The 25,513-nt window shown below is 44.9% G+C and overlaps 1 protein-coding gene across 39 annotated transcripts in view, besides 6 other annotated features; it reads right to left on the reverse strand.

The window, feature by feature from the left end:
• Positions 1 to 2,508: 2,508 nt before the first annotated feature.
• ICA1 (islet cell autoantigen 1) overlaps positions 2,509 to 25,513 on the reverse strand; it is a 149,372-nt gene continuing 126,367 nt past the window's right edge. For 37 of the 39 annotated variants that reach the window (NR_146926.2, NR_146927.2, NR_146929.2 and 34 more), the window contains 2 exons: positions 17,198 to 17,467; positions 2,509 to 3,369 (listed from right to left, as the gene is read on the reverse strand). Coding sequence is in view for 34 of the 39 variants with exons in the window: in XM_024446741.2 (XP_024302509.1) it covers positions 3,248 to 3,369; positions 17,198 to 17,467 (392 nt within the window). In the remaining 5 variants the exon portion in view is untranslated. Of the gene's footprint in view, positions 3,370 to 4,820; positions 4,923 to 17,197; positions 17,468 to 25,513 lie in introns of all 39 variants that reach the window. The other 2 variants (NR_146928.2, XR_002956426.2) reach the window with 1 other exon arrangement.
• Positions 3,568 to 3,667: an enhancer, noted in NCBI's record as "active region_25654". NCBI's record gives its function as "activates an Ori minimal core promoter by ATAC-STARR-seq in GM12878 lymphoblastoid cells {active_cell/tissue: GM12878}" and the evidence as "EXISTENCE:reporter gene assay evidence [ECO:0000049][PMID:35858748]".
• Positions 3,688 to 3,877: an enhancer, noted in NCBI's record as "active region_25655". NCBI's record gives its function as "activates an Ori minimal core promoter by ATAC-STARR-seq in GM12878 lymphoblastoid cells {active_cell/tissue: GM12878}" and the evidence as "EXISTENCE:reporter gene assay evidence [ECO:0000049][PMID:35858748]".
• Positions 14,157 to 14,949: an enhancer, noted in NCBI's record as "H3K27ac hESC enhancer chr7:8164462-8165254 (GRCh37/hg19 assembly coordinates)". NCBI's record gives its function as "activates a minimal SCP1, AML or CMV promoter by ChIP-STARR-seq in naive H9 embryonic stem cells {active_cell/tissue: H9 hESC(naive)}" and the evidence as "EXISTENCE:reporter gene assay evidence [ECO:0000049][PMID:30033119]".
• Positions 15,546 to 15,605: a silencer, noted in NCBI's record as "silent region_17970". NCBI's record gives its function as "represses an Ori minimal core promoter by ATAC-STARR-seq in GM12878 lymphoblastoid cells {active_cell/tissue: GM12878}" and the evidence as "EXISTENCE:reporter gene assay evidence [ECO:0000049][PMID:35858748]".
• Positions 22,989 to 23,038: a silencer, noted in NCBI's record as "silent region_17971". NCBI's record gives its function as "represses an Ori minimal core promoter by ATAC-STARR-seq in GM12878 lymphoblastoid cells {active_cell/tissue: GM12878}" and the evidence as "EXISTENCE:reporter gene assay evidence [ECO:0000049][PMID:35858748]".
• Positions 23,749 to 23,878: an enhancer, noted in NCBI's record as "active region_25656". NCBI's record gives its function as "activates an Ori minimal core promoter by ATAC-STARR-seq in GM12878 lymphoblastoid cells {active_cell/tissue: GM12878}" and the evidence as "EXISTENCE:reporter gene assay evidence [ECO:0000049][PMID:35858748]".

Genomic DNA, 25,513 nt, shown 5'->3' on the forward strand with positions numbered 1-25,513 from the left:
GTGAGCCACTGCGCCTGGCCTCCTTTACTTTATTAATAAACTTGTTCTCACTTTACTCTATGGACTCGCCCCAAATTCTTTCTTGTGCATGAGGTCCAAGAACCCTCTCTTGGGGTCTGGATCAGGACCCCTGCCTGGTAATAATAGCACCATGCATAAGTCCTGCCTACAGGCCCACCGACGCCTCGGGCCGCCTCTGAGTAGATCACGTCTTTTTGGGAAAAACCACTGACAAAAAGTGCTGGTTCGTCCTAAGTTGGTGCATTTCTAATTCTGAAGCTGACGGGTGCTTTTCTCACTTTCCCAGAGCTCAAAAATCAACTTGATATTTCTAAAATTACATTTTGAAGGAAATGAATCTATAAGGTACACCAAAAGCCCAAGCCAGCTGGGGAAAGAAGAAAGAAGGAAAAAGAATTTTCTCTGGCTCCCTCCCTTAAATTTGTATATTCTTTAAATCTTGGCTGGGGGACAGGGAAGGGAGCCTGGCAGACCACCCCACCTGGATTGGCAGGAAAGCTTTCCAGGAATAGGTGCTCTCTAAATCGCCCCAAAGGGTTCAGTGCAACTGTGATTCAGACCAGGCTCTCATCATGAAATGAAAATGAGGGACATGTGGGAGTGTACAGGAAGAGGGTACAGGAAGTGTACAGGAAGAGGGTAGCGTACCTTTGTCTTCTTCATACCAGGGCCAGTCCTTGGGTGGCTGAGGAGGGTCCGGGAGGTGCGTCCTGGAAGAAGCCCTTTGGCCCCGCAGGCACGCAGGCCACTTAAAAAGAGAATCAGGCAGCAGCTGCTGCTGTTTAAACTGAAAAGGTGGTCCACCGGCTTTGCATGAGCCCGGATCAAAACACGCATATCAAAAGGGATCAAGATGCTGGCCAAGTGGATTGCAGTTAGAAAAGGGAATTGAATCTTTTGTTTTTTTTAAGGTCAAGAAAATATGGAGAGAAAATGCCTCCATGTGCAATTCTTTCCTTGTCCTTGTAGTGAAGCTTGTCCAGCTACCACAATCCTCTCCCCTCCACCCAAAGAGCAACTTTTAAATGCCACCTGTTAGTATTTAAAGTAATCCATTCAAAATAGATGAACCCCACCCCCTTTGCTGTCCCACCCTTTCCCCCACCAAGCTCTCTGGGCCTCTAGCCTGGACGGAGCGAGTCAGTGCCTCGTCCCTCATCTTCTTACTGTGGTTGCAGGGTTTTCACAGCTGCAAATGTGACCCAGGATGAAACCAGGACTGAGTCCACATTCCATGAAGGGCAGCTTGACTCCCCCAATCATTAATCCATTGCTGACGAGGTGACTGCAGGGTGCTGACTGCCGGAGAGACAGAGATTTGGAGAAACAGGGAGACTGTTCTTTGGGGTCATAGCACCTAGTGGTAGAGGCAGATACATAAAGCACAGTCCTTGTGAGGCCAGGGCAAGCACCATCCTAGTGTCGCTGTATGAGATGGGAGAGAGGCAGGAAGGGAGGGCAGGAGCTGATGAAGTGTCACGGAGAGGTGAGGGCTGGTTCCTCACAGGAGACCTGGGGGATGCACTTGGAGAGGTCCTTGTGGAGCACGTCGGCTCTACAGAGGCTCTGGAAGGGTAGGTGGGGTTGTGATGGCATCCCAGCAGACGTGCACAGCAAACACACAGGCCCAGGGTGGGGAGCAGAGGCTGAGGGTACAGCAAGGCCTCCTGTGTGAGTGCGGGAAGGCTCACAAGGTGAGGCTCTGGTACTGAACTCTTCATATCCTCAAAGCCCACCAATGCCGGGTTGAGGAATCTGCTAAATGAGATTCTAACAAAGGAGACCCCCTGGATAGCTGATGGTAGGCCCGGATGTTAGTGGGGTTCCGTGAGCTCCCTAACATGCCCCATTTCACCTGCAGTGCACTTTCCTGTGCAGAGAAAGAACACCTCAACAGTCCCCCATCTCCAGTCCTCCAAGGTGTCTTGTAGGGATGGAGGTGATTGCTGTGGCCAGGTCCTTCCATGAGCCGTTCCTGTATGTGTGTGTGTGTGTGTGTTACAGGAAGTGGCCTCAGGAAGCCCTTTCAGAGCTGGGCACTGAAGCTGCAGGAGTCCAGGAGAGACCTCCTGGCCCAACCAAGCATGTGGAACCATCTCCTGGGGCAGTATTAGATTCCACCCCTACTCTGGGCCTCTAGCTCATTGAAAGGGGTATACATGGGCTTCCACAGATCTGTGTGGGCCCTCGGCAGGTCACCTGTGACATGTGTGGCAGGGAGAGGTGCCAGCTCTGGGGTCTCTAATAGTGGCAGAGTATCCGAGCTGCCCAAATGTAAAACTGTGGCTCCCACCCCTGCCTGATCCTTCAAGCCCCATGTTGTCCTTCCTGCTGCTGCCTTATCTGGGTGGTACATGGGGTCAAATCAACAGCTTCAAGGCTGCAGTTGGGACCCATCCTTCTCCTCTGTCCCACTCCCACACCCACACCCAGAGCACTTTCCTCAGCACATCACTGAGTCCCCACAACAGACTCCATAAACTTGACTTTGCATGTCAAATATCTTTTCTGTTTAATTAAAAAAAAAAAAAAAACAATGTCACAAGAGGCTTCAGAAATACATGCTTTTGAATTCCAGCCACGAAGAGGACAAAAGGAGACAGTGGTATCTGCAAATATGGCTGCTTTCCATAGTAAGGTTTGTGCCTTGGACAGAAGCCCAGCTCCTCCACCAGTGTGAGAACACGTGGCCCACCAGGCACCTGCTGTGGGGACAGTGTCTTTGGTTGGCCAGAGCTTCATCCAGAGCTCACTGGAAGGTGGCTTGGCAGGAAGAGGGAATCTTCCTACAGCCCTCCTCCAAGGGGGACAGAGGCTGGGGGCAGAGAAGGAGGCATTTAAGCTTTGCTAGCCTCCTGCTGCCTCTGAGGCTGTAGGACACGTCATTCAAACCTACCATCAAAGTAGGCTTCTGATTTCAACTTGGATCTCACGGTAGCCCAGTGACACCGCAGCAGCCATGATGGGATGTAGGCAGGAGAGCGGTGGCCTGGAAACCGCTTCTAGACAATCCTGTATTATTTAGATCCACATAGAGATACACGAAAACCCTTTATACCAAATAAGAGTAAATAATTATACCAATATAAACAGGGCCGTTGACCCTTTCATTTTATTAAAATGGCACATAATTATTAAAACAGCATACTGATCACTTTATACTTCTGCTAGCCCCCAGGGGAGCTGCTGGGGGCGGCATGTGAGTGCCCTCCCGAAGGGTACAGATTCATGCATTGAGCAATTCGTGTTCTTTATCGGTTTTCCCAACAGCATCAGGATTTGAGAGTGGGTCGAGGTCAGCGAAGAGGCTGAACCAGGCAGTCAGGTCTGAGGCAGCCTTAGCAGGTTCTGGGGAGAGAAGAGGAAACATGAGCAAACGCACCTTCCAAATGTCCACCTCTGCCATGCGGGATGCAGGCAGGTCCAGGTCATCTTCAAATGCAGATTGTTCAATCAGACAAATCCCTTTGCACTCTCTCTGACAATAGTTAGGGAATTCCAACTCCCGTGGCTGGTTGGCCAGTTAACATTTCCAAACCAGGGCCTGAAGCTCCGAGAATAACAAGCTCTTGTGTTAACAAACTCCCACCTGCACCCCAACCCCACTAATGGCCATAGCCCATGAAAAGCTGATCAAACCCTCGGGCCCTGCCACTTCACCACAACCAGGAAATAGCATAGTTATTTCAGAAATCAGACTGAATGGCTGAGGAAGCAAGGGGCTTTCCACTGTCTGCTGGAGGAATCTTTTCAAATCTGCTGGGTCAGGAGAAATATTATGGCCACTCTTTCTACCCTTCAAAGCAACAGGCCCAAAAGTGTTTGGCGCCCAGGCCTGGCTTCTCCTCTTCTCTCAGGGTCACTGCCTTCTTCAATCCTTTCCTGTTAAAAGGAGGGCCCTGACATGCCTTCCCTTCTCCCAGGGGGTCAATTCCCCTCACTCTTCAGCCTCATTGGAATACTCCCTTCTGCTCTTCCACCTAAACACCTGCCCTAACTTCCTGAATACCACGATTATACAGCCAAATTATTTTCCAGATGAGGAGAACATTTTCAAAAGAGTGCCTCATGCAAGTGATTTCTAAATAAGATGAAGGCTTTGTTTAAAATACATAAATCATTCCACATGAGAATCTAAGTTCATTGGCTTGGATGACCTGTGTTTTTTTCTTCTCCAACAGGTGGGAGTGTCAGAAACATGAAGAAAACGTCTCTGATGGGTGATCCTTCTAGCTGAGAGCAGCTAGGAATGTGCTTGCCATCTGGCTGAAAAGAGTCTCAGGAAGTGTTGGTAGGACAAGTTGCTAAAAGTGGTTAGTGAGGGGATAGAGGCAATGGGATTATATCAGTATAAACAGGGCCTTTGATCCTTTCATCAAAATGGCACTGAAATGCTAAGATAGTGTACCGATCACTTTATACTTCGGATTCCCCTCCCTCTTTTTGTAAAAAAAGTCTTTTGTAGATATTAATGTATCTACATGTAAAAATCAGTGTATCTATGATGGTGAGAAAACTATATCAAGACTAGTGGGTAATATGCAAGTTATTACTATGTAACATTGAATTCCATGTGCAATTAGCCCTGGAATCATCTGGTTTATCTTGATATGAGTATCAGAGACAAGAGAGCTCACTGTAGCTTAGTTGGAGGGGGAGTGGGCAGGGTATTGCCTAAAAAAAGGCAATACTGATTTCGCTGGATTAGCCTATCTCTATTCTTGCTAGAGGATATCAAAATATCTTAAAGACGACTCTAGTGAAAAGATGCTACATGCTTGTTTCCCCTTCCTTCTAACCTCCTCAAGGGTCTTAGGAGGTCTTCTGAGCGTTCTCATGGCCTTGCCGTGAGGAGCCAGTGATTGTGCTTTGGGACAATCCTCACATTCCCCAGGCAGCCACTGTTGGAGACAAAGCAGGTGCAACTTATTTGCATAACACTTAAAAGAGCATCATGGGAACATTTTTTGATGATAATGGAGTACACACTTCCTTCAACTTCCTGTGGCCAACAAGAGAAAGTCAGTGATACCAAAGAAACAGAGCTAGAGCTGCAAACACAGATGATATCTTCAGTCGAGCAGAGGCTCCCTTGGGGGACCTGTCCCAAAAGAGAACAGATCTCATGAACTTGAAATGACCTCTTTTGACAACTATGAAACCTGGCCCTTTCTGAGGTGCACAAATTAAATGCCCTATTTGGTGGTGGCAATGGTATTTCTGGCTAAAAATAGCAAACCTCAGAGGCCTTTCATACCTTGGTATTTCCAACCAAACTTGGGGACCACCCAACCACATGTAGATATTTGACTCATCCACATTAGGTACAATTTGATAAAGGGAATTATGAATGAGGACATTAAGCCAGAAAAAGAAGTCAGAATGTAATTTCTGGGATTATGCGAAATTCTCCATCTCATAGCCCTGTCTTGAGCCCTAGATGTTCAAATGGAAATTAGCAAAGTAGTACAGAAAACAGGTTAGGCCACTGGAAAGGAAGGCAGCTGTCATTTCAGAGAGACAAAATGCTGTTATTACCTTTCACTGCAGGGCTGTTGTCATTTGGACTGCTTGTCTTTGGTACTGGCCATGGAGTAGGAGGGGGATTGACATTGCTCTCTGACCAGTCTAATATTCAAAACCAGAGCATATCAGATCTAGTGAAGAAGTCACATGGACCCACCAGTTGATGGCCACATCCGTGGTTGCCTCCGAATAAAAATAAGACATTTCTCCCATGTTCCTCATACTGGAATACATTTGAGGAGATAGGAGATATGCATCATCGAACCCAATCCAAAAATATGAAAAATGAAGGAAAAGGTTAGATTCTGAAAAGCAAATAAACTATTGCTATGGATAAGGCATCTTTGCTTTTTAGCTTTATTTATGCCCATTTTTCTTCTCAAGCACAATCGTTTCATGATCATACCAAAGATTATCAGTGGTGCTCTAAGGAAAGCAGGTGCCTTGTTTTTCTGTCACAAATGGGGAAAAGCTTAAAAAAGAGAACACCATTAAATGAAGCAATAGGACTAGTAACTGCACATCTTCTCGACTTCCAATATGATCCAGTCCTTTTATTTTCTACACAGCTAATTTAAATTGGGAGATTTAATTAATACAGATAAGTAAATAACAGTCCAGTCCAAATATATGAGGGGGAAAGAAATCCCTCGTTAACTTTATGCCCCCCATTACAATGGTATTTGGCTTGTGATATGGTTAGGCTTTGTGTCCCCACCCAAATCTCACCTTGAACTGTAATCCCCATGATCCCCATATGTCAAGGGAGAGACTAGGTGGAGGTAACTGAATCATGGGGATGGTTTCCCCCATGCTGTTCTCCTGATAGTGAATTCTCGCGAGATCTGATGGTTTTATAAGGAGCTCTTCCCCATTTGCTCCACACTTCTCCTTCCTGGCTCCTTGTGAAGAACATACTTTGCTTCCCCTTCATCTTTGCCATGATTGTAAGTTTCCTGAGGCCTCCCCAGTCATGCTGAACTGTGAGTCACTTAAACCCCTTTCCTTTATAAATTATCCAGTCTTGGGCAGTTCTTTATATTAATAGCAGTGTGAAAACGGCCTAATACACGTTGTATAACCCAAGCACATGTTCTATAATGCCTCTTGTGCCCTGCCTGCCCCAGAATGGTTAAGAGGCATTCAGCACTCCTGTTTTAGGGACAGCAAACCTAGTTCCACACAGCATTTACTGTCTGTCCTGGAGGTTTTCACATGACTCATATTTAAAGCAGAACTTTACCATAAGCTTCTTTGCACCTCTGCTTTCATTGTATATATGCAAGTCTTACCTTCTCAATGAGACAAGGAATTTTTTGTTTTTCAATTTGCTCCAAAATACTTAACACAGCACAGGTAGATGTTTGCTGATTAAATGGATTGTTGATTCTCACTATAAAATGTAGACCATCAGAGGATGCATCACTGTTGGGATCATTGTGCTTAAAACTGTATCCTTTTATTGGCATACTCTCGTCACAGTGTTTTTTAAGGAAAAGATTTGTATCTGATAAGGCCCTCAAGAGAGATCATGTTTGGAAGGCGAGTTCAGATGGGGCAGTGAAACCAATGTCCAGAGCAAGAATGCCACTCAGTATATGGCACAAAAAGTATAGGATTTAATGCCACTTGTTCACTCTGCCATTCTAAGCTTTACACTTTCCAGTGGACTTCATTACAGAATTACACTCTATTTCTTAGTTTACACTTTCATCTCATTTCCTAGAGTCCTGAGCCCCTGGAAGCCAGGGACAATGTATTATTCATCTTTATATCCTTTAGTGCACTGAATGCTACACAATGGGTGTTCAAATATATGACTATTGCATTAACATAAACAGAGTACTCTTTTAAACCGTGAGTATACTTCTAAAGCATTATTTTAAGAGATGGCAAAGCAGTACCTGGCACATATTCATTATTACAATAATACTCACTGGTTGAAGTATTTCATTTTAGGCAAATGGCACAAACCTCACGAACTTATTTATCAAGACTAACTTAATGAAACAGGTGGCCTGCGACCTATTTACTCAATCTAGAACAATGAAAAAATACGAAGAGTTCTAAAAGGCATTGTTATTCATTGGAAAGGTGTTTGAACATATACATAACAGAATTCACAAACAATCAAAAGTACTAGGCTTGGAGGGAGCTATCTGGGACCGTGGAAATGTTCTAACACTGGACTGTGGTGAAGGCTGCACAATATAAAGTTACCCGAAATCCTTGAGCTGTTCTCTTACAGTGGGTGAAGTTTTGGCATATAAATTATACTGCAATAAAACGATTTTTTTTAATGACCAGTATTTGGTGTAATCCAGGAATAACATAACCTCCCTGGTTCCTAGAAAATTGGCCCCTGACCATTTTCCTTCTAGACCCAAATCACATAAAACAGTGGTAAATGTGGAAAGTTAAAGTTGTGGTTTCTGTGTGTGCCAAATAATGCTGATCATAGAAAAGCTGAGAAGTATTGAATCTAACTGGTAACTGTCACCCTTTCCTTCAATCCTTCTCCAACACTAAGTGTACCCAAGACCCACCTGTCCCCAGAGCCCATGCCACCTTTCCCCTAACCCCTGCAGCTTGCCCTCAGTCTCTCAGAACCATGGTTCTCACAATGTGGGCCCTCAACAGAGGCATGGGCATCACCTATGTGCTGGTTAGAAATTCAAGCTCACGAGCCAATGCTGACCTACTGAATCAGAATCCCTGCAGGTAGAGCCCGGGAAGATTTTAGCAAACTCTGAGTGATTGTTATGTAAGTAAAAGTTTGGGAAGCACTTCCTCAGTTGGTCTCTGAGGCTGCCTAGGTCACCATTTCTATTAGAATCACAGGATGCCTTTTGGGCCAGTGTGAGGACGAGAGAGGTTCTCCTAAGAATCAGAGGGGCCCACTTCAGGACCCCACACTCCCAGGCAGCTGACTCCAAATCTTGCAGCTTTATGCTCTTCGATCCTATGGTCCTCTGACAGAGTTCCTGGAGGGCCAGGAGCTTCCAGAGAGAACTTGAACTGACTCAGTAAAGCCAGGTGAGGAGTAGAAACCCCTCCCTGATCTCTGTATGCTATGTGACACAATGGGAACTCAAACAAGATCATTCTTCCCATTTCAAAAACATGCACGACACTCAGCTGCAGAGAACACTGGAAAAAAGAGGCAGACTCGAAGCATTATATTTTTCAAAGTATGACATGAACGCATTCCTAAGAGGAGGCAGAAATCAATTTATATGTCAAAATGGAACTCACTTCCCATCATGTAATGTGCGTGTTCTTGGAAAGCTATAAATAAGTGAAACATCTGTGTATCAAGTCATACTTTAAAAGAAGCCAGAGGCCGGGTGTGGTGGCTCACGTCTGTAATCCCAGCACTTTGGGAAGCCAAAGCAGGCGGATCACTTGAGGTCAGGAGTTCAAGACCAGCCCGGCCAACATGGTGAAACCCTGTCTCTACTAAAAAGACAAAAATTAGCCGGGTGTGGTGGCGGGCACCTGTAATCCTAGCTACTCAGGAGGTTGAGGCAGGAGATTCGCTTGAACCCGGGAGGCGGAGGTTGCAGTGAGCCGAGATCGTGCCACTGTACTCCAGCCTGAGTGACAGAGTAAGAATGCATCTCAAAGATAAAAGATAAATAAGAGGACCCAGGAATACAAATTATATTTTCAAACATGTGATTTAAAAGATGATAATGGCAGATTCCTTTATAGACAAAACAGATATCTTCTACTTGAATTCCTTTGTAAGTATGGATTTTTAAATATTGTTCACCTAAAACACTCATGAACCATACAATGAACACCTAGAACCCATGGATTTGGAGGCTTCTCTGCAGCAGAAGACATGAAGATGATAAAGCCTGAAGATATCCCCTCTTTGGGAGCTAAGATGACGGGAACAGTACACCTCAGAATGTTCACAAACACACACAGGGTATCATTATTCCCTTTCCCCGTAGTGTGAGGCAGAAACAACAGCCAGTTTGCCAAGTCACATTCTTTTCTCCGAACAATTATTAAGCATCAGTCTAACAATTTGACTACATGCGCATGAAGAGATAAAATAGTATGTCTATGACACCGACTATTTATGGGAAAAAAAGCAAATACTAAGCTCAGCTACAGTTCCAACCTCATTCATATCACTTTGGAAATTATTTAGGGGAAGGGTGCAATGAGGGTAATTATGGATTGAATGCCAAGCCAGATTTCAACTGTCTTGGCTTCTGTCAGGAAAAAATGCTATGTAAAGAGAACTTAGTGTTGCTAATATTCCCATAATTGCCATCAACTGTTCTCTAGCTGGTGTGAGTTGGCTGAGGCATTTTTAACATGAAGGTGTGGCTAGAAAGATGTCGGCCCATCTCAGAGTAGTTCTGTCAGGAGAGGGGTGGTGACGAGTGAGCAACCAGGGCACTGAGTTGTGAGAACAAAATGACTACCCTAGCTTTCAGGATCCTTTGATATATCAGATGTGCTACCCATTTGCAGGAAACAAATAAAATTTTATTAGAGCAAACTGCCCCCCGTTACTTACATAAAGGAAAGTCTAAATCAGCCAGGCATAAGGCCGGCCAGCTACAGCAGCAAGTGAAGCCAAAGGACACCGCCCAGAGCTGCGCTTTGCCATGGGTGTCATTTACCAGCGGGGAGAGCCGAAGCCCGGGGCTGGGAGGGGATCACAGCCTGGAGAGCTCTGCGGTGGGGCTGCCCGTGAAGGGGAGAGTGGGAACACCACAACCACGTGGCCAAGCACCATCCTGACACCCACAGTTCCCCCTCAGGCCTAGTTTCCATGCCTGCAAGGGGTAGATAAAATGTCCTGCTTCATTTGGGGGTTGTCTGGATAAAATGGGATCTTGTAGATGAAACCAGGTAGGAGACAGACTAGAGAGCAGGCCCTCAGTAAACCTAAGCTGAATCTGGGAGTTTGTAAGCTAAGCAGATGGCAGGACTAACCCCTGAGGACATCATCTTCAAGGGTTCTCATTTTAGGACTGGTTTCATCTAGTGTCATTTGTCAGTTGTCCTCTCCCCCACTTCTTGCCTGCCATCCAGCCAGCCAGCCAGCCAGCAAGTACTTTTGAACATTTACTGTATTCCAGGCACTGAGCTGTGTTCTGGAAATACGATGGTGAGCAACATAAATATGGGACCTGTTCCCATGACAACCTAGAGCAAGAGACAGAAAATGGAATCAGAATGAGATCCTGTCATTTGCAACAACCTGGATGGAACTGGAAGACATTATGTTAAGTGAACTAAGCCAGGCGCAGAAAGACAAACTTTGCATGTTCTTACTCATTTGCGGGAGCTAAAAATGAAAACAATTCAGTTCATGGAAATAGAAAGTAGAATGATGGTTACCAGAGGCTGGAAAGGGTGGTAGGGGATGGGGGTAGAAGGGATGGTTAGTGGGTACAAAAATATAGTTAGATAGAATAAGTATGATCTAGCATTCGATAGCACGACAGGGTGACTGCAGTCAACAATAATTTACAGTACATTTAAAAATAACCCAAAGAGTATAATTGGAATGTGTGTAACACCAAGAAATGAGAAATGCTTGAGGTGATGAACACCCCATTTACCCTGATGTGATTATTACACATTGCACGCCTGTATCAAAATATCTCACATACCCCATAAATACATACGTCTACTAGTCCCACAGAAATTAAAAGTTAAAATAAAGTGAATCCATTTTACAATAAGTTAAGGGGAGAGGAGTGATTAAGTACAGGTTGTCATGGACTTGGGGAGCAGAAACACCCTGACTGCTGGGGAGGGGGGACTCAAGGAAGGCTCCTCAGTGAGATGACAGTGGAGCTGAGATACTGAAGGATGAGAAGTTAGCCAGGTCAGACAAGCAGCATGCTGCACAGGTGAGTGGCATGCTCTAAGGAGAAGGGAGAGCATGTGCCAAGACCCCATGGTGGGGACAGACGGGTGCACTGAAGCTTCATATGGCTGGAGTCGGGTGTACTGATAGCACACGTGGTTCTCCAGGGAAACAATGCCACGAAGACAGCTAAGCTAAGATGTGGGAGGTGTGGACAGTGAGGAGACAGTCGTGTCCTAAAGGACCTTGGAAGCCATGCTGAGGAGTTTAGACCTTATTCAAATGGTGGAACAACTGCAACAACTAAGCAGGTCACAAGGCCTTTCTGGGGCTCCTTGATTCCCTGTTCTATAAAACAGGTGTAGAGTAGATCAAAGTTCCTTCTGGGGACTAAATTCTGCAGAGCTCCAAGACCTGCAAATGCTCCTCAGCAGGCATAGGAAGTGCTGCACTTTGGCGGAACTCCGTTCCATTGCCTTGTGCTGAGAGTGCCTGCTCTGCATTCAAACTATAAATACACCCCGTGGTCTTTTCCCTCACACGATTCTGAGGACTGGGAATGTCCATTACCTGGAGCCAGGCTAAGCCAGGAATGGCAGGAGGTGAGCACTGCTTGAGGAAAGGTGAAACGGAGATAACCCGAAGCCTGACATTATATTAGCCTTAAGTGGAAATCCATCTAAATGGCAACGGCATCTCAGAATTCGGTAAAACAAAAGAATACCGTGAAGGAACACAAGGCTGTATGTTTTTGGGAATTTGGAACAAGATTCCTAACTTCGGTTTGCAGAGTCCTAAATTAAAAGATGTCCTGATGCATTTATTTGAGCAGCTGGTAATCTTTCTAGTATCAGTGTCTACTTCTAAATTTTGGAAATGGGTACAGAATTGAGAACATCGACTCTGAGGCCTCTCAGCATTGCCTGTCTCCAGCTCAGGTGGCCTCTCTGGCTGGCTCTCCTCCTACTCACACAAAGTGGCCTTGGGAAGGCACAATTTTCTCATCACTGCATGACAGAGGAACCCCCACACCTTACCATGCTGATAACTTCAGACACTCTTAGAAATCCCAGCTAAAATTAACTTCATCTTCTCATTTTCAGCACAACTTGATTCTACATGCATTCCTTTGTTTTGGACTCTTAGAGCTTAAAGTAGGGGGAAAAGAGGATATCATTGTTCTCCAAATCCCCCTTCCTCTCCATTTCCCCAGGGGACTGGGGACAGAACGAGGAGAGAGGTGGAAGAAGAGAGGTACAAAAGCAGGGGAGAATCCAGGGAGACGACAGAGGAGGAAACTGAAGAGATGAAGGCGGAAGAGGAGGGGGAAATGTGGATTGTGAGAGGGGGTGAGGGAGCTGGGGACGCGGCCCAGAGCTTGCACTTCAGTCCTGGTGCCTGTCCCCGAGGACTCGGTGCCCCAGTCTCTCACGGAGAGCCAGGAAAACCTGAGATGCAGCAGGAGTGTGCCAGAGCGAATGTAGCTGCTGGCACACAGGAACAAGATTTCCTAGGACAATCTCAATTTCAAATATTCTATTCTGGAACATCATTCAATTGTGTGTGGACTTAGCCTCTGTCTCCCACACCCATTCCTCCTTTATGGCTCCCTAAATATCTCTATCCCTGTGTGCGACCAGGATGCCCAGGCCAGGGTGTCATTACAAGTCCTGCCCCTCTGACGGCTTCCTAAGAGAGGTCTGAAGAGCCCCACTGGGAAATCCCTTTTGCTCTCAGAGACTGTACTGAGAGGCCAGAGAAGGGAATGGTGAAAGGCATGGATTCTGGAGTCCGGCTGCCTGGGCTCAAAATCCGGCCTGCCCGTTAACAGGAGTGTGATCTTGGGCACATCACTTAACCACTGTTCCTCAGTTTCCCAGGCAATAAAACGGATAATAGTAGCTGGCTGGGAAGGGTACGGTGAGGATTAAAATTCATCCATGTGAAAAGCACACAGGACAGTTCCTGGCACGTAGCACGTGCCACACTGAGTGCTGGCTGTTATTTTACCATCTACAAATCATAGATTCACTGAATCATACAATTTTTTTTTTTTTTTTTTTTTTTTTTTGAGACGGAGTCTCGCTCTGTCGCCCAGGCTGGAGTGCAGTGGCGGGATCTCGGCTCACTGCAAGCTCCGCCTCCCGGGTTCACGCCATTCTCCTGCCTCAGCCTCCCAAGTAGCTGGGACTACAGGCACGCACCAGCATGCCCAGCTAATTTTTGTATTTTTAGTAGAGCCGGGGTTTCACCATTTTGGCCATGATGGTCTCGACCTCTTGACCTCATGATCCGCCCACCTCGGCCTCCCAAAGTGCTGGGATTACAGGCATGAGCCACCGCGCCCAGCCGTGTATAGGTAGATTTTCTAGGCCATGAATGCAGTGAAAAAAAAAAAAAAAACTCAAGCTAACATTCATCCTTTCCTCTTTTTTGAGGGGATTGAGGGTCCTAATAGAAGAATAGAAGGCAGAATTTGACATGATCAGTCATGGAAGCATAATGTCCATCCTTCATTTGTAACAAACACGTGTTGAAGGATCCCTGAACTGGGAGCACCTGCTGGGAATCTGTAAGTGTGGCAGAAGCTGAATGGTCTGCTTGTTTCAACCACTTAGGTTTGGCTTTTTTTCCTCCTATCATTTCAGTTCTGTAGGTATTCCATTGGCAGCTGTTTGCATGCAAAGGAAATAGTACAGTAGTTACAAGTTAACTCAACATTTTTTTTTTTTTCAGAGACAGAGTCTCCCTCACTCTGTCACCCAGACTGGAGTGTAGTGGCGTGATCTCAGCTCACTGCAACCTCTACCTCCTGGATTCAAATGATTCTCCTGCCTCAGCCTCCCGAGTAGCTGGACCTACAGGTGCACACCACCACACCCAGCTAATTTTTGTATTTTTAGTAGAGACAGAGTTTCACCATGTTGGCCAGGCTGGTCTCAAACTCCTGACCTCAAGCCATCTGCCCACCTCCGCCTCCTAAAGTGCTGGGATTACAGGTATGAGCCACCTTGCCCGGGTGGTAACTCCTTTAACACTGACCTTGATAGAATCCCAGCAGAGGAAATAAAACTTCTAGCAGACAGAATGACCCTTTTAAATAGGAAATCAGATCATGTTTCTCTTTGGCTCAAGATCCTGTGATGGCTCCCAATTTTACTTGGGCTGAAAAAAGGTCTAAGTTCTTCCAACAGCTATGAGTCCCTGTGTGGCCTGGCCTCCGCCTCTGCATCCTCTGAGCATCCCTCCCCCTTGCTTAGTCAGCTCCAGCCAAGTGTCCTTCCTGAAGACCCTTCACTGTGCCAGGCATATCCTCACCTTAGGGCATTGGCACAGGTTGTTCCCTCTGCCCAGAGCTCCACATGGTTCATTCTCACCTCCTGCAAGTCTCTGCTCAGATCTCATCTTCCCAGTAAGAACCTACTCAGCTCTGCAGCCTGACCTACTACCCTGAGAGCCCCAACACTCCATTATCCCCAGGCTCTACTTTTTCCTTTTCTCCCTAACATCGATCACTTTCTAGCCTACTATGCGATTTGCTTATTATTATGCTTATTATTCACTGCCTGTCTGCATCCTGTTACAATGTGGGCTCCAGGACAGCAGACAGCCTTGTCTGTTTTGTCCTCAGCTGAATTCCCAGTGCCTGGCACACAGTGGGACCCGGTAAATATTTGTTGACTGAATGAGAGACTTGCTAAAGTGCTAGTAGGATGGCAACCTCAAATGAGATGTTGTTGGCCTGAGTAACAAATGGCCTCCCTTTGCAGTTCCTGTTTCTCTTTCCGTAGCATGAGCTTGTGTTTCTCTCTCCCTCCCAGAACACCTCCCTCCTTAGACCTCAGTGTGGTTTGGTGCCTTTCCCGTGTATATGGGGCAAGGCTGAAGTGCAATTCCCCATGGCCGCTGCCCTTGTCACAGCTCTCAGGCATAGTCTGGCAGCCCCACTGTGGGCACTGAGATGAACTTCTCTCACTTTGCCTGCTCAGGAAGTGGGCGAGGAGCTCTGACTTCTTGGCTGTCTGCTGATGTGTGTGCATGGGCTCTTACAATGACTGACACTCAGCCACCCTGGCTAAGCAGCAACACAGTTGCAACCATTCCCTGTGGTTAGTAGGGGCTCTTGTTTCCAAAGCTGAGGATCTGAGTGGGGTTCGTTCTGCAACACTGCTGGGGAGTCCTCAGCAGCCCTAAGATATCACTTGAGGATCTGGGCTCTGCCTCGACTCTCTCAGGGCTTCTTAGCACCTCCACCACAGGTGGGTGGGGATGAAACTCTAGTCAGTTGGCAGCCTTACTCATTTGCAGCTCCCGTGAATGAGGTGGTGAAACCTGGGGTGAAACTCAGGGTGGAGAAACATTTTTGGATTTCATTTATCCCTGCTATCTCTACCTCCATTACTGCAAATAAATGAAATGGCTATGAAATAAGACTCCCAAAGGAAGATAAAAGGAGTCATGTATTTCATTTAAAAAAAAAGACTTTTTTTTTTGTCTTGCCCACCAACTCTTGTGTCCATGATCTCATCTCCAAAGACCTGAGGTTTTAATAGCCCATAATTACTTAATTGTTCCAGCTTTACCGTTTTGTTCTCAGCTTTAAGTGCCAGATAAACATGCTGTTTATTAGGGAGACAGCCTAAATTCATAGAAAAACCAAAACAGTTTGATAATTTCTTAAGTGATTCCTGTTTTACAATTAAAGTCACATGAAAGAAGGAAAAAGTGTTGAAATACTAAAAAATGGTTTCCTTTCAGAAGCCTGTGTGTTTAGAAACTCAAAAATTTAAATTTCAACATGAGTTTCAGGCTTTGCACTGTCAACCAATGTGTTCCAATGCTAGCAATTCTCAGCCAGCACTTGGTTGGTGTACCTTGAACCCTTACTGATGTTGACAACCCCTCCAGCATTTTTTTTTTTTTTTCAGACAGAGTCTCACTCTGTTGCCCAGGCTAGAGTGCAGTGGCACAATCTTGGCTCACTGTAACTTTGCCTCCTGGGTTCAAGCGATTCTCCTGCCTCAGCCTCCTGAGTAACTAGGATTTGGGATTACAGGCATGTGCCATCATGCCTACCTAAGTTTTTTTTTTTTTTGTATTTTTAGTAGAGACAGGCTTCCACCATTGTTGGCCAGGCTGGTCTCAAACTCCTGACCTCAAGTGATCCTCTCACCTCGGCCTCCCAAAGTGCTGGGATTACAGGCATGAGCCACCATGCCTGGCCTGAGAAATTTCTTCTGATCAGTGTGGAAACTCTATTTTTTCTGTGGCTGAGGAGGTAATGTTTGGCCCTGTGTTTCGGGCAGAACCAGAAGAGTGGATCTAGTGGGGGGTCCTCAGGGGAGAGGTGGATCAGGATAGAAAGGGAGCAGAAATGCAAGATAAAACTTAGTGTGCAAAAAGAGTGAAGAAGCCCCGTGCAATGTCAGTCAGCACCCAGGAAGAGGGCATGCTTATGGGAACGTGGTGAACTCAGGGCGGAGTGGCCAAGTCAACGGGGCCTTGACCATGAAAGCAGTTTGATCCTCTCAAGTATGCCACAAGAAGTCTAAAATCAAAGGATGACAATATGATTTAGAACCACTCATCTAACCTTTGATGCTAACACAGGGGAGAATTATGAAAAGGAATGTATTTTAAACCCTGAAACATAAAGTTGGAATGTGATTCTGAGTCTCCAGTTAAAAAGTCAATAAAAATAGAGAAAACATTAAAAAAGACAAAGAAGGAAGAAATATGCTTTTGGATTGAAAACAAAAAGAATGAACAAACAAAAAACCCCATTTCAATCCCCACCTTACCTACCTTGTAGCGAGGCCTGTAAGTCTTTCATATTTTGGTCTAAAAGCTGCGAAGGAAGGAAACCTGAGCCTGTCTGGGCCTTGGGGTCTGGCTCTCCCAGGGCCATAGTGGGCACTGGCTCCTTCACTTGGCCGTCTCCAAACACAGCGGCCCACTCTTTGCTGAACTCGCCCTCTTCCAAGGAGGAAGCATTGAAGATCTCACTCAACAGCAGCAGGTCATCTTTGTCAGCACCTTCAGGTTCCGGGGTCCCTGCCACTGGTCCCAGGCAAGCTGATTGAAGTAACAGAGAACAAAACGTCACCACGGAGGGCTCAAGCCCTCAGGAATCAATGCTGTGGGGGCTGCGAAGGGGGAGACTGGTTGATGGCTAGATTTAAGAAAAATGTCATCAAAATATAAGTTCATCCTATTATTATAGCCTCTCTTAAGAGTTTATAGAATTAAATTTCGAATCCCATGTTCCCTTGTCCCCTGTCCTCCAAAGCAAGTTCAGTTTCTGGGCATCAGACTCTAGGATTTTGGTTTTTCTTTAATATAAAAACAAATTTACCAAAACATTTCTCAGATATGAAACAAGGCCAAGATTGAAAACATGTTGGAGATCTTAGTTCCTTGTTTGCATAGCTTCCCAAATCTTCCCACGCAAGCCCTCAATACACATTGCCTGGGCTGGAACAGCAACACGCCATGTGGCAGCCTGTCCTGCCACCCAGGATGGGGAGAGAACTTTCACCATGCCCTGGCCCAGGGCACGACAGTGAAGGGGAGGATGTCCAGAGCTCAACAATGCCCAAGAGAGGCATCCTTACTTCCTTCCCACTTTGCTGAAACTCCATTGCATGAAGCAAAGGAAAAGTGGGTCTGGTTTGCCTAAGTGCCTTTTGCAGCAATAAAATAAAAGGGAAAGAGGCTGCGAGTCAGGGAGCTTCACAGGCTAGAGACACAGTTCGAGGGGCGTTGAAGTGAGCACCGGATCAGAGGGGAAGCCTCAGGTCCACCCCTTCGCTGCTATGTGACTTCGGTAAAAACCCTTAGACCCCCTTGAGCCTCTGTTTGCTCATCCACAAGGTTATCATGTTAATAACGGCCACCTCGGTGTTGTCAGGAAGACCAAAAGAAATACACTTTAAACCTAATTGCCTTTCCAGAAGGAAGGCTTTAAAGAAGGCAGCCATCCTTACATTACGAACATTGGCAGAATACTGAATATTGAATACAAGTAGCATTACTATCAGAAATCTTACACCAAGTCCTTTCACTGGGTTTATTACTTATTTTGAGAACCAAAGACTGATGGTGTTATCAACTGTGGCTTTGTGGTGGTATCTAACTGCCACTTGGAAACTATAAACATTTTTGTTGTTAATTCACAAAGAGAAGAAAAAAATCATGATTTATGTTTTTTTTCTGAGACATGCTGCAATTCTGATATGGTCATATTAAATGAGATGACCAGGTTTTCTTCAAATGTATAAGATAATTAGTAAGTAAAGGCTTTTTTTTTAAAAAAAAAAAAGTTCTCTGTGTTGGCTTTACTGGATCTATTTTCAATCACACTTTACATAAAGATCTAAAGATGAAGGGGATTTCTGATGTGCTGAGCAGACAGGCTATAAATCAGGGAGGGGAAGAATCTAGTCACTCTCATGTCCCTGTGGTTTAAAAATAGTGGCAAAACATCACTTTAGTCGGACAACTGTCTAATGTAAGCATTCTTATTGTTTGTGTTATCACAGAAATTCTCACTAAGAGCTAGCCTGTAGGTGTTGTGGGTGAGAAGATGGGGCAAATGGCATTTTAAACAGGCTTCTGAGACAGTGTGATTTTTTTTAAAATTATTATTATTATACTTTAAGTTTTAGGGTAAATGTGCACAACGTGCAGGTTTGTTACATATGTATACATGTGCCATGCTGGTGTGTTGCACCCATTAACTCGTCATTTAACATTAGGTATATCTCCTAATGGTATCCCTCCCCCCTCCCCCCACCCCACAACAGTCCCCGGTGTGTGATGTTCCCCTTCCTGTGTCCATGTGTTCTCATTGTTCAATTCCCACCTACGAGATAGAATATGCGGTATTTGGTTTTTTGTCCTTGGCGATAGTTTGCTGAGAATGATGGTTTCCAGCTTCATCCATGTCCCTACAAAGGACATGAACTCATCCTTTTTTATGGCTGCATAGTATTCCATGGTGTATATGTGCCACATTTTCTTAATCCAGTCTATCATTGTTGGACATTTGGGTTGGTTCCAAGTCTTTGCTGCTAGTGCCGCAATAAACATACGTGGGCATGTGTCTTTATAGCAGCATGATTTATAATCCTTTGGGTCTATACCCAGTAATGGGATGGCTGGGTCGAATGGTATTTCGACAGTGTGATATTAACAGGGTAGTTCAGGAACCACTTGAGCCTGCACATGGTGGGCGAGGCAGGACTGTAAGGTCAGGCAGGTGGCCCACCTCTGTGGATGAAGGCAGGAGCTGAAGGAAAGGAAAGCAACCTTCGCAGCTCAGGATGTGTCCATCAACACCTGTATCTACGCATGCTCCCCTCTCCAGCATCACCTTTTTAAGGATTATTAACATTACAGAACTCTATACTTCCTACTTTCAGGTAGGACTGGAATGCCCAAACCCTTTCTTATAGTTTACTTTTTGCCCTGACTGAAACCAGATAATTACTGAACCAAACCTATTCTATTGAAACCAAGTCAAGTCAATGTGTAGACCCTGGAGGAGCAGATAATTTCAAATGCACCTTGGAAATGACGTATGTTCCTTCTACAGTCGCTTTATACAGCCCTCCACTAAGTCAAACCCTCAGGGAGGCTTCACTACTTTAGTACAGATGTCTGTCCAGGGAAGATCATCATTAACATTAGCAAGAACAAATAATAAACTGTAAGCCTTCTAAAAATAACCACAGACTGTAATAGCTCCATCTTTGTTTTTATTGTTTAGGTTTTGTGCTATGGTGTTTATAATGGACTTTGGTGGTTTTTGCTAACTCAGCATCCCTTCCCTCTGCTTCTTCAGTTTTCCCTTTGGGAAAATGCCTTCTCCATGTGATCCTGGTGAGATGCCTCTGGAAATGACTCCTTACCCTCCACCCCAGTGAATGACTGATGAGGCTGGCCAGAGTCCTCCATCCCCCAGGCATGGTGATTGGCTCAGGGGTGGACACATGCCGGACACCTCCCGGAATTTGGTATATAGAAACTTAATGGAAGAGGGCCTCTCTTTCTTTGGGATTCCAAGCTCTAAAGATGCAAATTTCAGGCTCCCAGTGATAATGAAGTCAACACATAGAGGGAAACAGCCTCAAGAAGTGGAGAGAGAATCCTGACAACATTGTCTAAGCGCCTGGATCCAGCCTTGCTTGAAGCCAATCCACAACTGAGTGTCCCCATTACATGGATCAATACATTCTTTTTTGCTTTTAAAAATTTAAACCTAAACTATTTCAAATAGGGTTTTTCTATCACTTGCAATCAGAAAACTTTTTACTAATACATATCCTATTCAACTCAAACTTTTTAGTGACAGAAAAGAGAAAAGGACCCTTGGTGAGGATATTGCCTACAGCCAGTTCTAAATACAGATTTTGCCTACACTGAGGTCTACCAATGAATTTAGCCTTTTATTTGGCTTCTTGATTATTCAACAGCTAACAGGCCACACAGTGCACATTTTCTCTTTTAAGAGAACTTACTACTTAGCTAAAAGCAATGAAACTGGCACTGACTTGAACCATAAAACACAAAAACCTCCCAATTATTGCACTGATAATTAAGATGCTTAAAATTATTACACATAACACGTAAGAAAAATCTAACTACAAGTAGAAAAGGACGGGTTCAGGTCTGTAACCAGACAAGTTGAGACTTGAGAAATAGCTCTATAGTCAGTTGGCTCTTGAGAATCATGCTATCATTTTCTTTGAAAAAAATTCAACTCAACTGAGAGATAATGGAGACACATGCAGAGATGTGATAAGCTCTTTGGGAGAAACTCTAGTAAGAAACTCCCAACTGGAGTCAGGGCTTCCACCCATGCAGATGTGGACTGCTTCTGGGTTATGGTGCCCCAATCCTGCTTTTGTGTTAAAGGATGAACAAGGGTTGAGGATCTCTCAGGTGCCAAACCCACAGATGCTACACCAAGTTCCCTTCACTCTCTTGCAGGCTCCCAAGTCTCTGTGTTTACTTGCTTACCAGATAACCTAACTACAGACACTGCTGCAAAAATAAGAGCCAACAGACATGACGTACTCACATCCTCACCTGTCTCCAACTCCGTGACCTTGCAGGCATTGCCTCTCCTTTCTAAGATAAGCCCTCTCTATGCCCTCCCCTCCTTCCTGAAGCCTGCTCTGTTCCCACCATTATTCAGATCCAGCACCTTTAGTCTTTCATTTTCCAATGCTTCCTTCCCCTAGCCGCAGGAGATGTGTGCCTATCTCAACAATAATCAGCCTTCACTTGATGTTGCTCTCCACCCTCCCCTCACACTTTCAAGTTACTGTTCTGGTTTCTTCTTCCTTCCACAACCACATACTCTACTTTGGCTCTACTCTTTTCTCAGCTGCCTGTAATTAAGTTCCTGCCCCCACCCTATACTGAAATAGCTCTCTTGAAGGTCAGCAGTGAGATCCTCATTGCCAGTTCTGAGGCTCTTTTCCCAGGCCTTTACCTGTACAGCATCATTTGTACCACTGCCCAGCCTGGAAATGCTGCTATCTCCTGGGAGTCCCCATGAGGCGGCTCTCTCGGATGACCTCCCATCTCCCTGACAGTACCTTCTCCACTGCCTCCTCCTATTCTGGCTGCCCTTAAGGTTTCATCCCAAACCATCATACCTTCCCTACATTCTCTATAGAAGATCTTTTCTATTCTTAGGGTTCCAATGTCACCTCAGAAGGTTCTCCAATCTCTACCTCCAATTCCAAGTTCTTTCTGGAACTCCATTTGCAAATTCCTGTCTGGGAGCCCTTCTGGGTTTGCCCATTGGTGAAGCTGCTGGTGCTCCATAGAGGAACCCTCTTACTGTGTATCTTTGCTTAGTCTGTGTTATGGTTTGCATATCTGTCCCTTCCAAAACTCATGCTGATATTTAAACCCTAGTGCGGCAGCTTGAGAGGTGCGGCCTTTAAGAGGTGATTGGGTCATGAGGGCTCTGCCCTCACAAATGGGTTAACCCATTCATGGATTAATGAATTAATGGATTATCATGGGAGTGGGATTGGTAGCTTCTATAAGAAGAGGAACAGAGACCTGAGGGAGCACATTCGGCCCCCTCACTATGTGATGCCCTAAGCCGCCTTAGGACTCAGCAAAAAAGGCCCTCACCAGATGTGTCCCCTCAGAATTGGACATTTTAGCCCCTATAACTCTAAGAAATAAATTCCATTTCTTTCTTTTCTTTTCTTGTTTTTTCTTTATAGAGTCTCACTCTGTCATCCAGGCTGGAGTGCAGTGGTGCAACCATAGCACTCCAGGCTTGAATGCCTTCTGAGTAGCTGGGACTACAGGCACATGCCACCATGCCTGGCTAACTTTTAAAACTTTTGTAGAGATAGGGTTTTACTTTGTTGCCCTCTTGGTCTCAAGTGATCCTCCTGCCTTGATCTCCCAAAGTGCTAGGATTACAGGCATGAGCCCTTTTCCTTATAAATTATCCAGGTGCCAGTATTCTGTTTTATAAGCAACAGAAAGCAAAGTTAGACAGGCTGGCTGTGAGATTACTCATTTACTCAAAGGCCTTCAGTGGCTCCCTGACTACTGGCTAAAGTAACACTCTGTCTAGTGGTATTCAGGATGTCTGCAGTCAAGCACGAATGCAGCCCTTTCAGCTACCCATCAATATAGCCATCTGGAAAGCCTTCATTCAATTTGGCAAAACTTCTCTACTTGCCATTGCTCAAACATATTCTGGGAACCTGATGATTTGTCCCAGTGAGAAAAATCATACTTTTTTTTTTTTTTTTTTTTGCAACCAATAGGAATCTTAGAGATCATCTCCTCTAACTCACTTTACAGATAAGGAAAAAGACCCAGGTTAAATAACCTACCCAATGACACAAAATTTATTAGTTACAGACAATCTTGCTAGGGACCCCAACTCACAGTCAAGGTGTTTTCTCACTGTAGCACTCTGCTTTTACTTCAGAACCTATTAAGGATCTCATGTATAAATTAATATTTAAGCTTTTGTAAAGTGTTGAGGGTTTCTAAGGTCAGATGGCTCCACTGGCAGCCAGGCACCATGCAGGCACCGTGGCAGAAAGGCTGAGATGACAGATCCATTCAGCATGTTTGCCCTGTACTGCCCAAGTTTTCAAAAATAAAAACCCTATGCCCCTGGGAGAACATTCCCTAGGAGAACTGATCCTGAACCAATGAGCAATATCTGTGTGAAAACTCACATAGAGAGGAAGCTCTTTTAAGTTTAGACACGGTGTGGGAAATTGGTGACAGCTCACTCAGGTGGTATTTTTGAACTCATACTGAGTTTCATGACCTCAGCATAAATTAGAACACAGAAGATGGAAGGAAACATAACTACATAGACCGAAAACGAGAGCACAGAAAAGCTGGCAGATAAATGTCACTTAATTTACCTTCATCTGCGTGTGAAACAGGAAGACTCCATCTCTCTGGTTTTCTCCCTCGTCCCCACTCTGGACATTATGACTAATCGTAAAGGCCACACGCTTGCAGTACAGATGAAAAACCCCAAACACCAACACTATCCTCACATCGCCCAAAGAGAGTAGGGGGAAGATAGGGAGGAAAACACCTTACGAAAATGGCTAACAAGAAAAACATATTCTATATTATAACAAACTGTACTTGTTTGGAACTCAAGAACACTGCTTCTAAGAACTTCGCTCTGATGAAAAATGATATAGATTATAATAAGAACAGAGAGAGGAAAAACAACTCCTACTCCCTGAAAAACAAAACAAAACAAAAAACAAACAACAAACCAACAGCACTGGACCCTGAGTAGGCACTAAAAAAAAAAAATTCTTGTTCATGATCCCTAAGCTTGCTACTCCATTTCACCAGTAGATGTTAGAAGACAAGTAATCTTACTGAAAAACATAAAACCTAGGGCAGGGATAAATATTTATAGACTCTTTATAGAATTTTTTTTATTTTTTTTTGAGACAGAGTGTTACTCTGTTGCCTAGACTGGAGTGCAGTGGTGCAATCTCGGTTCACTGCAACCTCCGCCTCCCGGGTTCAAGCGATTCTTCTGCCTCAGCCTCCAGAGTAGCTGGGATTACAGATGCCCATCACCAGGCCTGGCTAATTTTTGGATTTTTAGTAGAGACAGGGTTTCATTATGTTGGCAAGGCTGGTCTCGAACTCTTGACCTCAAGTGATCCGCCCATCTTGTCCTCCCAAAGTGCTGGGATTACAAGTGTGAGCCACCGCGCCCGGCCAGAATCTTTATAGAAATCTTTATAAGGGTAAATCTATAGAGAGCACTACAGGCTACAGGATGATCAGCTAAGAACAGTATTTGGTTAAAAAAAAAAATGTACCAAAGCCAGCAGTACATCCCAGGATGCTGAGGAAGACAGAGAGGAGGGAAAGTTCATGAGAAAAGAGAAGGCGCTTTTTAGAACTTGCCACTTCGTATGCGAGGAAGCAGTCAGATCCCTAGTCAGTAATATATGGACAACTGCAGGAGACAATTCTGAGTGACTCAGGAGGAACTCAGAGGTAAACATGTATGACTGCTGTGGGCTAAAAGTTTTCACCCACACCTATGGTACCTACTGAATGAGCTATTATTCTGACATGTGACCACAATTTAGAATCACAAGTCTAGAAGTAGTAACCAAGGAGGTAGCAGGAGATAAACATTTTATTTAGAATATAGACAATTAAAATTGTTTTAATTGGCTTAGTCTTGTCCTGGAGAGGGATCTTTTGGGTAAGGCCAACTTATGAGACTTAGGTGAGTTGAATTCATTGAACTGTCTTCTGCTTTGTAACACCACTTTTTTGTTCAGGTATCTGCTATTCATTTTTCTTGGCCCAATTTTGGGAAACACAAAGATTTCTCCATGTTATAATTAACGAATTGAGGTCAGATTGCCACATGTGGTCATAAGGCAGTTTGAGAGCCACTTTCACGTGTCTCAAAATGTCACTAACTTTTTTACTTAAAATAGTTTTATAAACTGTGGTCAAATATTGGTTTTCCATTATATTAGCTATTTAGTAGGAGAAAGCCAATGTCATTACGACACTGAATGGGGGTGATTTTCTGGGCAATGGCTCTTTGAGAATCGTTGC

The sequence above is a fragment of the Homo sapiens genome, chromosome 7, assembly GCF_000001405.40.
Source record: "Homo sapiens chromosome 7, GRCh38.p14 Primary Assembly".
Taxonomy (NCBI): Eukaryota; Metazoa; Chordata; class Mammalia; order Primates; family Hominidae; genus Homo; species Homo sapiens.